This window comes from Homo sapiens, chromosome 7 (genome assembly GCF_000001405.40).
Source record: "Homo sapiens chromosome 7, GRCh38.p14 Primary Assembly".
Classification (NCBI taxonomy): domain Eukaryota; kingdom Metazoa; phylum Chordata; class Mammalia; order Primates; family Hominidae; genus Homo; species Homo sapiens.
In genome coordinates this window covers 27529071-27542025 of record NC_000007.14, presented here as the reverse complement: position 1 = coordinate 27542025, position 12955 = coordinate 27529071, and the positions used below count along the sequence as shown (strand labels likewise).

General features: G+C 36.5%; 1 protein-coding gene across 4 annotated transcripts in view; it reads left to right on the top strand.

Moving 5' to 3' along the window:
* The window catches only part of HIBADH (3-hydroxyisobutyrate dehydrogenase), a 137442-nt gene that overhangs the window by 120858 nt on the left and 3629 nt on the right, over positions 1 to 12955 (top strand). For all 4 annotated transcript variants that reach the window (NM_001430749.1, NM_152740.4, XM_047419834.1 and 1 more), the window contains 2 exons: positions 3609 to 3685; positions 10678 to 10834. In NM_001430749.1, coding sequence (NP_001417678.1) covers positions 3609 to 3685; positions 10678 to 10834 — 234 coding nt within the window. The remainder of the gene's footprint in view (positions 1 to 3608; positions 3686 to 10677; positions 10835 to 12955) is intronic.

The following is a 12955-nucleotide window of genomic DNA, read 5'->3' as shown; positions in this document are numbered from 1 at the left end:
GCACCATTTACAGTTGAGAGAAATGTAAAGAAATGTAAAGATGCATTAAATCATAATGGCATAAAATTAACTCTAGTAATACTGTACTACTGTAATAATTTTGTGGCCACCTGTTGCTATTGCAGTGAACTCAAGTGTTACAAGTATTGAGCATAAAATGTCATGTGACACTAATCATCTTTGTGTGAGTGGTTCATCTCTTTAGTAAATTGTGTATCATAGTAAAAATTGATCTCTTGGAATTCTCTTGTATTTTTTTATCATGTTTAGTGCAATACCATAAACCTTGAATGACACCATGGGACCCATACAAAGTGCCACTAGTGATGCTGGAAGTGCTCCTAAGAAGCTGAGAAAAGTCATGACATTACAAGAAAAAGTTGAATTGCCTGATACATACCATGGATTGAGGTCTGCGGCTGCGTTTGCCCTCCATTTCAAGATAAACAAATCCAATGTAAGGACCATTGTAAACAAAGAAAAGAATAGTCATGAACCCATCACTGCAGCTACTCCAGCAGGCTTGCACTTTTTGCAGAACATCTTTTTATCTCACATTGAAAATGCAGCTTTTATGTAGATGCAGGATTGCTGTAGAAAGGCATACTTACATCTAATATGATTCAAGAAAAATATGACAACTTAAAGCAAAAAGAAAGTGAAGGATCTAAAGCTGGAGAATTTAATGCCAGCAAAGGATGGTTTGATAATTTTAGGAAGAGGTTTGCTTAAAAAATGTCAAGAAATAGGCGAAGTAGCTTCTGCCAACCAAGAGACAGCAGACAGTTCCCAGGCGCCATTAAGAAAAAATCATTGAAGAGAAAGTATATCTGCCTGAATGAGTTTTTAATGCAGACAGAAGTGCCCTATTACGGAGAAAAAAAAAAAAAAAAGGATGCTCGAAGGACATTTATTAGGAAGAGAAGCAAGCAGCACCAGGATTTAAGGCAGGAAAGGATAGGCTAACTCTACTGTTTTGTACAAATGCAGTTGGGTTGAAAATCAGGACTGCCCTTATCTATAAAGTTGCTAACTTCTGAGGCTTTAAGTGAAAAGATAAATACCAGCTGCCTGTCTTTTGGTTGTACAGCAAGAAGGCCTGGACGATGAGAACCCTGTTTCTGGATTGTTTCCATCAATGGCTTTGTCTCTGGAGTCAGGCAATATCTTGCCAGTAAGGGACTGACTTTTAAAGTTATTTTGATATTGGACAGTACCCCTGGCCACCCAGAATAACATGAGTTCAACACTGAAGGTGTCCAAGGGGCCAACTTGCCCCTAAACATAACGCCCCTAATTCAGCCTCTAGAGTAGGGGATCATAAGGACCTTTAAGGCTCATTACACATGGTACTCTATGGGAAGGATTGTCACTGTGGAAGAAAACCCTGATAGAACATGAAAATCTGGAAAGATTACACCATTGAAGATGCCATTGTTATTGTGGAAAACGCCTTGAAGGCCATCAAGCCCCTAACAGTAAATTCCTGCTGGAAAAAACTGTCCAGATGTTGTGCAAGACTTCACAGGATTTATGGCAGGGCCAATCAAGGAAATCACTAAAGAGATTGTGCATATGGCAAAAAAGGTGGGGAGTGTATGAAGGCTTTCAAGATATGGATCTTGGATTAATTCAAGAGCTAATAGACACCACAGCAGAGTAATTAACAGAAGAGGCTTGATGGAGATGAGTGCTTCTGAACAGTACCAGATGATGAGGAAGAAGATGTACCAAAAGCAGTGCCAGGAAACAAATTGACATTAGACAGTATGGCAGAACGGTTCTGATTATTCAAGACTCCTTTCAACTTCTTTTACAACATGGACCCTTCTCTGATACAGACACTGAAAATAAAGCAAACAGTGGAAGACGGATTGGTACCATACAAAAACGTTTTTAGAGAAATGAAAGAGCAAAAACATCAGATAGAAATTACAATTTCCATAAAGTTATCCGGAGTGTGCCTGCCCCTTCTGCCTCCCCTTCTACCACCTCCACCTCTTCTGCCTCTGTCACCCCGAGACAGCGAAGAGCAACCCCTCCTCTTCCTCCTCAGCCTACTCATTATTAAGATGATGGGATTGAAGACCTTTATGATGATCCACTTCCACTTAATGAATAATAAATATATTTTATCTTCCTTAATGATTCCCTTAGTAACATTTTTTTCTCTAGCTTGCTTTACCATAAGAATACAATATATAATACATATACAAAATATGTGTTAATCAACTGTTTATGTTATTGACGAGGCTTCCAGTCAACAGTGGGCTATTAGTAGTTAAGTTTTTGGAGAGTCAAAAGTTATACATGGGTTTTTGACTGCACTGGGGGTTGGCACCCCTAACCCCCTCATCATTCAAGGGTCAACTGTACTTGCCATAGTCCTCTCTATTTGTAGTACAATCACGCAGCAATAACCCATGGACTTCAAATTTTTCTTGAAAAGCAAGTAACTTTCATTTAGAAGTATGAGGTGACTGACAGAGATGATTAAACAATACTGAACACTGAAATTGTTAGTTGTCTCCCTCCCCCTCCCAATACACACACACACTCTCTCTCCTCCTCTTAATGCTTTTATCCTGGTCACTAGGACTCTCTTTATCTCACTCTAGACTTGGTATTATCTTAGATATATTTATTGTCTCCATACTCTTGTCCAGTCAGTCTCCAAGCTCTATTACTTCAAGTTACTCTCATTGTTGACCTTCATTTCCATTCAACACAGGACCTGGTCCAAGCCTTTCTTTCAGTGTCTCACACCTAGTTTACTGGTCAGGGGGCCTAATAGTCTCTGAATGTCAAATTTACCACTCTGTCCAACATCATAACCCAGACCAACTCCATCAAGATGCTTGTATCATCATAGTGCTTCCCCATTCTGAAACTTTGAATAGATCCCTATTTCCTACCGTGTCAAATTTTAACTCTCCACCCTAGCTTTCATAGCTGACATGTCCTTGCCCCAGTCTTAACGATCAAATTTCTCACCATTCCTTAAAACACAGGCATATTAAACAATTTTCTTACTGATCTCCAGCAACATCCCATGTTCTTAAATATTTAATCCTTCTTATATATTTACCCTTCGCCCCGGATCTCCTTCTTTCTCTTTCTTGTCTGTTTAAATCCTGCCTTGGCCTCCTAAAGGATGATTTCAGGTTCCACTTCCTCTCTGTTCCTGCCTTCAGTGGTCTTGTTGCTCTGAACTCCTATCTCTTATAGCCTCTACCTTACAATTCACCACTTGTTTTTGTTGCCTTTTCATACAGCATATTACTCCCATTTCCAATTAGATTGTAAGTTCCATCCCTTAAAGAGCAGTTGTGCCCTATAGTGCTGAGCCCGTAGTAGCTATGTGGAAAATAAATTTTCACATAGGCAAATTTATTACCTAGTGGAGGAGACCCGCAAGTCTGCTCTGGGATAGCATGTGAGGTTCAGAGGGAGCCATGCTGCATCAGGTTCTCTTCCGCACTCGAGAAAATCAACAGTTGAATGTTATTTCTTTTAGAAAGCAGCCCCTGGAATTGGGCAAGGAAAAACGTCCTGTGAGTTTTACCTTGAAAATACAGATATTTAATATGTACTCAATTTATTTTCAGGCGGCAAAGATCTGCAACAACATGCTGTTAGCTATTAGTATGATTGGAACTGCTGAAGCTATGAATCTTGGAATCAGGTTTGTTGAATAGTACGTTTTTATACTAACATTTTTATAGGCTTTCCTATTTGATTTTCTGATGTTAAAAAAATGATATTCATGAGAGATAAATGAGTTGATCCAAGAACATTTTGAAAGTACTTCATTATTGAACTTTAATAGACTTTGCTTATTGGACAAGCAATAGGACCCAGGAGAGCATGAATACTCTTTGCCATAGCCATAAAATGTATTGCCTGTGCATTTGAAGTTGTGCATTTGAAGCTATATTATCCTTTTTATGTGGGACCCCCATTTCTTCTATTATGTTGAAATACAAGAAACACTTTTCTGTAAAATTTAAACATACTTTGGCAATGTTGGGACAAATTTGTATAAGACATGGTTTTAGTGTGTAGTGAATTCAAGTGGTATGCTACCATGTGACTAGTTTATGTACCTTTTAAAAATATAGTCCCCCAAATCTGCACTAAAAGTGTTCTTGGTGGTTCATTCTCAGGCTAAAAACTGGATAGCATTCATAAAGATGCAATTCATATGCATAACTCTTTCATTTTATTTTGCCTGTGGTTTAGTTACTTTGCATTCGTATGTATCTTTCTATTAAAGTGGCATACTTTGCTTAAAGTGATTCAGGAATTCTGTTTTTCCTATGGATGATCATCTTTTAAATGCTTAAGGTTAATGTCTTAATTTTAGCCTTTAATCTTTTGGGTTAGTAATGCTACATATGATTAATCACCTAATTAATTTTTGAATGTTTTATATTTCATGAAAATAATAAATATACATTTCTTACTTTAGAAAATGCTTAATGAGCAGGATGCTTTACTCAGTTGCTTTCATCACATTCCCCAAAACTGCTTACCAAATATATCACAAAACAGAATAGTGTTTCATACCATAGCTTTTGATAAAAGTAATAAAAAGAGCCAACATACTTGAGATATTTTTGAAAACACAGTAATGGATTCACATTTCCTCTTAATTACCATATCAAGATGCTGTTGTTTTATTGAATTGCCCTTGTCTCAGATGTTTAACTATCTTGACCTATTAAGTTGTCATGTTGTAATTGAGATAAAAGAGGAATTTGCTTTGCGTCAGCACTAATTGGTTTATCAATATCATGTACCATTTACATTTTAAAATTGAATGTCCATAAGATGGTAAAGCATGTCTGTACAGAGCCTTAATAAAAGTGGTAGTATATAGGGACCTTTTCAGTGTTATGTTTGTATTGTGGCCAGTTTTAGGATATGGGTCACTTATCATAATTGAAAAACTGGTTACTAGTAACTTGTTTTCATGTTCATTCTCTAGACTAATTTCATGGAAGAGGAAAATGTACATTTCTGGAACATAAATGGCATACACAATTAATTGGTGTTGACACCAGGATTGGTATGCATATGTATGTTTAGAATTTTATTTTTATTTTTCTGGATATAAATGATTATATAAAGTAAAAGGCTGGATGAACCTAGGTTATACTGTACTACAGCTTTCCCTCTTTGCCCATTGACTCTGTGCTTCTCACCTTGAGCATCACTGGACCAGGATGTTCCTTAGTCATAGTGATGCATCCTCTGGCATTTCTTGAATAATTTTCCTGTCAGAACTCTTACTATAAGATGATCATTTGACCTTCTAAAATGAAGTTTTGTATAGGCTAAGTGCTTGTGGAAGTTCTACTGCAAACACCAGCTACAACTGTAGGCAATACAATCGAATACGAGGTGTACAATGAAGTAAAAACCATTGGCTACTTGTAGTGGGTTTGTTTTCAAGGAGAAAATGAAAAGTGATAAAAAATAGAGATGTAAGAGAGCAGAAGCAATTAATAGAGTTTCCCTTATTTTTGGCTCTGATCAACTATGACAAAATTGTTATTTAGAAATATGAAACTTTTAAATCTTTCATTTTTCTAAAACTCTACATATATACTGATATATATAACATAAAATATATTCTAAAAGTCTGAACACAAGGCAGAAACTCACTAGTTATACTTAACTGTTAAAAATAATTTATAAGTTTCTAGTGTTTCAGATTATACCAATGAATTGCTTATTTTCATAACATGAGGATTTTATCACTTTATCTTACGAAGATTCTCAGTGGTTTAAAGACCCTAAAAATGAATGCTTCTGCTATTGTCTTTTCTTCACGGTTTACAGACATGGTTTAAAGTGACAGGATTGTTCTCTAATAGAGTATAGAGAACGGCCACGATTTATTGAGCTTTGCAAGGTGAAAGAGAAAATTGGCATCAGCAAGCATAAATTCCCAAGTAGTAAATTCCCGCAAAGTAGTATAGCATCAAAATGGTGTAGCCACATTTATATTCTGCCCACTCTGAAGTGAAATTTTTTCAGAGTATTAATGTCAACATTTACAAATTGAGTCACCCATTCCTGTGAAGTGATCATTTCTGATTAATTTTATTCTAAGTCAGTGGTTTTTCTGGAACACTGTTCCCCTTTTTTAAAAAAATTGAAGAATAAAATCTTACAGTTTAAAATTCTTATTGACCCTATGCTCTTTTACAGTGAGTCTTTATGGATGTTAGCAAAATTTTTAAATGTTGTTAAAAAAAAAAAGTAAAGAGTAAAAAATATGGTATACAATATATTTTGAGATTCCTTTTTTATTAGACCTTTCTGCTTTCTAATTGGATTCCTACATAGGCATTAGAAGCATAGTTTTATGGTCCTGAAAGTACCCTACTTGTATTAGAGAGGTTTTGTTCCTGTGTATCACATAGAAATAACATTGATGATGTTTTGTTGTTTTAAATTACCAGCTCCACTGGAAATTGATTTTAAAAAAAAATTTTTGGTGGTATAACAAGTTACTTGCATTGCCAACCAGGCCCAGGCTCCTCCAGCAACCACTGTATTGTCTTCCGCCAAAAGAAGCTTGAAGCAGCTGAACTTCTGGAAAGCTGTTCAAGATGAGAACTTTCCCTCCAATGTAGTTTTATTAATAGTTTCTTGCATACTGCCCTTAGAAGATGTTGCTTTTGCATTTATGTGATGACTGGAGCCTTAGTTGTTTACCCTAATAAATATAACAGATGGCAAAGGTTTGTAATTTGTAAATGGCCAAAAAGCTTGTTCTTTGTATGTATCTATACTGTCTGGTTTTACATAAGAACAAAACAAATTATGTCACTAAACTGGGATGTTTGTGTCACAGGAACAGATCTGGAAATGAAACATCTAAGACCATGTCAATCCAAATCATTCACTTATCCATCATACAAATTTCTTAATAAACTCATAAAATGCCATCGTACTGGCTAGTTGTTGACTATTAAGTTTACCACCTACTTAATAGTCAACTACTAGCCAGTACGATGGCATTTGGGCATACATGTAGGTCTGCATTCAAGCTGTCCCACAGACTTAAGCTTTTCTCATTTATAAAATGACAAAAGTGATTACATCTATCCACTGGGTTGTTGTGAAGATTAAGTGAGTTAATCCATATAAAACTTATTAAATAGTTTCTGGCACATAGTAGGTGTCGATATGTGGTAATGATATTTGTGGTTGTGGTGAGGTGGTTATTGTTTGAAATTAAATTGTACTTTAATCTTTTTCTTCCTAACATGTCTCACTAGCTGGCATTACATATTTATTTGTCTGTTTATTACCTGTCTTCCCATCTAGAAGCTCCATGATGGGAAATGGTTTGTTTACTCATTGCCATATCTTAAGAATATACCTGGCAGGTATTAGGCACCCAGTGAAGATTTGTCAGATAAATAAGGAGAGGAGGGAGGAGGTAGGGGAGTGAGTGAGTGAGGGGATAAGATATGGCACTTCTCTTGCCAAAGGTAAAAGTTATCCAGGTGGGTCTTAACTCAGCCCTCCTGGCAGACAGGCACAGCCTCCTCTTAGCTTCCTTCTTACTGTCTCCTTCGCTGCACGTGTAGCACTTGGATATAGCAGATCTGAGTAAACATTGATGGATAAGTGATTGATTAATTAAAACTGACATGGTCTTAGATGTTTCATTTCCAGATCTGTTCCTGTGATACAAACATCCCAGTTTAGTGACATAATTTATTTCGTTCTTACGTGAAACCAGACAGTATAGATTACTCACAGATAATATAAACAAACATTTTTGGCCCTTAAAGTCTTGGTTACAGTGAAGGCAAATGTTTAATTTTTTAAATTTTTTTGCAGTTTATGCATTATTTTTACTTCTTCCAAACCTCATTTAAAATTCTTGTTTTAGAGGTGAGTAGATTTGACACAGTGACGTTTATTTGAGACGCATTATATATGCAGTCAGAGCGATGAATTCATTCTGTTTATATCAGAGAACATTCCAGCAATTGTAAAGCCACATGCATGCACGCATGCACTCTCGAACCACATCCAGTGGCAAGTTATTATGGGGACTGACAGACTGTCATTCTTTTGATGGCTTGAGCTGTATATCTTCTGAACAGCAATGGGGCTCTTATGCAGAAAGTATCATATGTTCCCAGCCAATTTACAGGGAAACAGCAATAACATTTTATCATGGTTGAGAGCCCAGTAGCTGCTTCCTATTAAACTTGCCCTTTCAGATACCTGTCTTGGATTAATTTGTTGATTTCGAATGGAAACTCAGTCTTCTCCAGTGAAGCATGACGTTCTAGGATAGACTCTGAATGACAATTACTGTGTATTCTAGCTGGTTTCAGACCATTACAAGCCTTGGGCACAGTGGAAAACAGAGGACTTCAGTAACTGATTTTAATATCATGTCTAATTTTAACTGTCAGTTATGTATGTGCCAGAGAACGAATCCTCAGAAAGATGAAATGCAAAACACTTCTAACTTGCTCTTTTTAATGATACACTTTGCTGCGGGTGGGGGCAGGGGGAGGGAAGTGGAGAGGGAATAACTATCTCCTGAAGGGAATCAGCACGGTGGGGAAGCATCAGATTTGAAAAGTGAGAATGAAACAACTGCCACCTGATTTTTTGTGTGTGCCCCTCAGGATGCTTCTAAATAGTAATGTGTTCACCAGAAAGGGTTTCCATCAATCAATACCAGTACTTTTCCTTGAACATTCAAGAAAAATGTAGGGTTTTACAAAGTTAGGATAATTAGCTTTGCTCACCATTTTGTTGAATATTATAGAAAAGAGTGAATTTCCTTAGCTGTAAAAGCTCTTGTGAGCTACTACTGAGTGTAACCTGGTAGATTAGAAAGAAGGAAGGAATTCTGCTGCTTTAAATATGATGAACCATCTTAAAAGATCTAAGTTAGGAAGCCCTGAAATTATATTTCAAATGGAGAGAGAAAGTGACGTTTTGGAGTCTTTAAAAGTATTTTCTCCTTATGGAGCATATTAGATGTATGCATTCTTGAACATTTGGTACTTTGCAGTTATAGCAAATTAACTAATTGTTAATTGTGATTTTACTTTTCACAATTATTCCCTAAGCACACTGGCTTTATCTTTTCCTAAGTGATATACTACAGTAGCATACTGATAGCCTAATCTTATTTAAAAGGAGAAAGCAAGCATCAGTAGCATACTATGCATGCAGTGAACTTGGATCTTTATAAAAGAATGAATGAAACTGTTGGGTTTCTCTCTGGGAATCTACAGTTGAACAGAATGAATGATAGCCAATTTAGACTGAATTTCTGTATCTGTTACAATCCTTAGTAAAATCCATCACTATAACATGGGCCACCATATGAATTCAGATACATGATATGCCACATAGCAGTCTGGGAACCACAGCTACCCCTTGAAAGCCTGATTACATAACAGTTGTATTATGTGGTAATTCCATACATATTTTTGGCTGTTAGCCTCAGCCCCCTGCTCTAGCATCTGAAAAAATGTTTTATTGGCCATGATATTCAGATTTTGAAATAAACAGGCATGTGTTTTAGACACACAGAGTAAACAATCTGAGCGTGCCAAGATGCACAGTTTGTTTAACATTTACATAAGTGTCTCTTTTCAGTGTTTTTTTTATTTTCTGGAAGAGGTTGGTTTTAAGAAAAAGTGGAAAGCTTTTATGACAATTGTTTCATAATGGCTCTGTGTATGAAAGAAACCAAATAAATTGCTAGGAATAAAGTTTTATTTGAAACTTGATTCAGTGATACCTAGCAAAATTGTGCTTCCCAAACTGCATTATATCTTTAGAATCCAAGTAATGGAGCATTTTGATTCTATTATTTTTTCTAGGGTCCACATTGAACAGCCGTTTATGCCATCAGCCCAGTGATAGAACAAATGATGTTTCTGCTTGGGCAAGCTTTGTTTTATCAGGATCAGTAACCTTATCAGCAGTTGACCCAGAACTATAATGCATGTCTCTGAATAGATAGCATATGTCACAACTCTGTGCAGACTTGCTTCATAAGCAAGATTGTCTAATAAAGATTTAATAAATAAGGAAAAGTTTGCAGCAAAAAGTCTTCTTTTATAATAACTTTTCTTAAGCTCGTTTACAGCTCCTGGCTCATCTCTTGCATTTATTCTCATAAAAACTAAAGGAATAAACATACATATAAATGCATTCACACAGACTCCCATGATGCATCGTTTATCTGTCAGTATTTCTTTCTGAAATATATCATTTGTGGGTAAAGAATGTAGAATTTAAATTATCATATTGTTTTAAGGTTCTTATGTGACATATAAATGTAGTAATGTCCAAAGACTAGAAAACCCATGAGTGTGATAAACCAACAATATTTTTATGCAATTGTATATTATTTTTTCTTAATAATAGGATAACATAGAAGGTTTTCTCCAAATGCAAAATGGTCCTGGCTCAAAAATATTCTTATTTAACCAGTAGTGTTTAGTACTCTATAATTCAAAATTGGATTCTTCACTCTCGTATCAACCTGCTTAGATTTTAGAAGACATATAATAAATGGAGAGAGAAGATGGAGCATCCCCATACATAAATAAGTCACGCACGACGTGTACATTTTGACACTTAACACTTCTTTTCTTTGACCTTTGACAGGTTAGGGCTTGACCCAAAACTACTGGCTAAAATCCTAAATATGAGCTCAGGACGGTGTTGGTCAAGTGACACTTATAATCCTGTACCTGGAGTGATGGATGGCGTTCCCTCGGCTAATAACTATCAGGGTGGATTTGGAACAACACTCATGGCTAAGGTATGGTAAATGTAGACACCCAAGAGAGAAGGAAAAACGTTTCACGGTCCAATAACACCTTCCTTCTCTTTCTCTTAATAAAGCATATGTCTCAGGTAAGAGGCAAAATTACTAGAATATTCACTCTCACTGAAAATGAGTAAAAACCTAACTTAGATGAAAATCCTTATCTTGTTCATTTTTATTCCTGGCCTTTTGGTTGAGAAGAATGGGCCAGACCATGTGTGTGTGTGTATGTGTGTGCGTGTGTGTGTGTGTGCGCACTTGGGTTTATTTATATGAGCCGGTAAAATTTCGTTCACCATTAATTTATGTTAATTTACCAACTTCTTAAATGAGAACAGTGAGAATTTTCTCATTGTTAATAATACACTGGCAGTGCATATATGCATCACGAAGAGAGGATTTTCCCATTGATAATAGATTTCCAAATACATCTTCCTGCTTTAAGATTTTAATATATGGATTTATATATAAAAACTAGTTAAGTCATTGGAAAAGCAAACTGTCATCCTTCTCTTATTTGAGATCTCAACTTTAGAAAGTCTATGTTCTCAACTACAGAAAATAATTTTTAGACCAGCTAACTTTCAGATTTCTGCAGTGCTTATTTTCTCCCAGTTGAGGGTTGGTTTTTGTTTGTTTGTTTGTTTGTTTGTTTTTCCTGATTAAAAAGTAAGAATACGGCCAGGCGCGATAGCTCATGCCTTTAATCCCAGCATTTTGGGAGGCCGAGGAGGGCAGATCACCTGAGGTCAGGAGTTCGAGACCAGCCTGGCTAACATGGTGAAACCCAGTTTCTACTAAAAATAAAAAAAATTAGTCGGGCGTGGTGGTGCGTGTCTGTAAGCCCAGCTACTCAGGAGGCTGAGGCAGGAGAATCGCTTGAACCCGGGAGGTGGAGATGGCAGTCAGCTGAGATAGCACCATTGCACTCCAGCCTGGGCAACAGAGTGAGACTTCGTCTCAAATAGAAAAAAAAAAAGAAAAAGAATACATATACCTAGATACCACACAAGCATACCTTGGAGATATTGTGGGTTCAGTTCCAGACAACCACAACAAGTCACACAAATTTTTTGGTTTCCCAGTACATATAAAAATTACGTTTATACTATGCCATAGTCTATTAAGTGTGCATTAGCATTATGTCTAAACAATATACGTATCTTAATTTTAAAATGCTCTATTGCTAAAAAAGCTAACAATTATCTGAGCCTTCAGTGAGTCATATAGTCCTTTTTTGCTGGTGGAAGGTCTTGCCTTGAGGTTGATGAATGGTGATTGACCAGGGTGGCGGTTGCTGAAGGTTGGGTGGCTATGACAATTTCTTAAAATAGGACAGTAATGAAGTTTAAGTTTACTGCATTGATTTACTCATCCTTTCACAGAAGATTTATGTGCTACTGTTTGATAGCATTTTACCCACAGTAGAACTTCTTTCAAAAACGGAGGCAATCCTCTCAAACCCTGATGCTACTTTATCAACTAAGTTTGTGTAATATTCTAAATCCTTTCTGTCATTTCACCAGGAGTAGATCCATCTCAAGAAACCACTTTCTTTGCTCATCCATAAGAAGCAACTCCTCATCCCTTCAAGTTTAGCACAAGATTGTAGTAATTCAGTCACATCTGCAGGCTCCACTTCTAATTCTAGTTCTCCTATTTCCACCACGTCTGCAGTGACTTTCTCCATTGAAGTCTTAAAGGCCTCAAAGTTATCCATGAGCATTGGAATCAGCTTCTTTCAAACTCCTGTTAATGTTGATATTTTGACCTCCTCCCATGAATCACAAATATTCTTAATGGCATCTAGAATGGTGAATTATTTTCATAAGGTTTCAGTTTACTCTGCCCAGAGCTGTCAGAGGAATCACTATATATGGTAGCTATTGCCTTATGAAATACTTCTCACATAAGAGTTGAAAAATGACTCTTTGATCCATGGGCTACAGAATGGATGTTGTGTTCATAGACATGAAAACAACATTAATCTCCCTGTACATCTCCATCAGCACTCTTGGGTGACCACGTGTACTGTCAGTGAGCAGTCGTATTTTGAAAGGAATCTTTTCTTCTGACCAGTAGGTCTCAACAGTGGGCTTAAAATAAATATTCAGT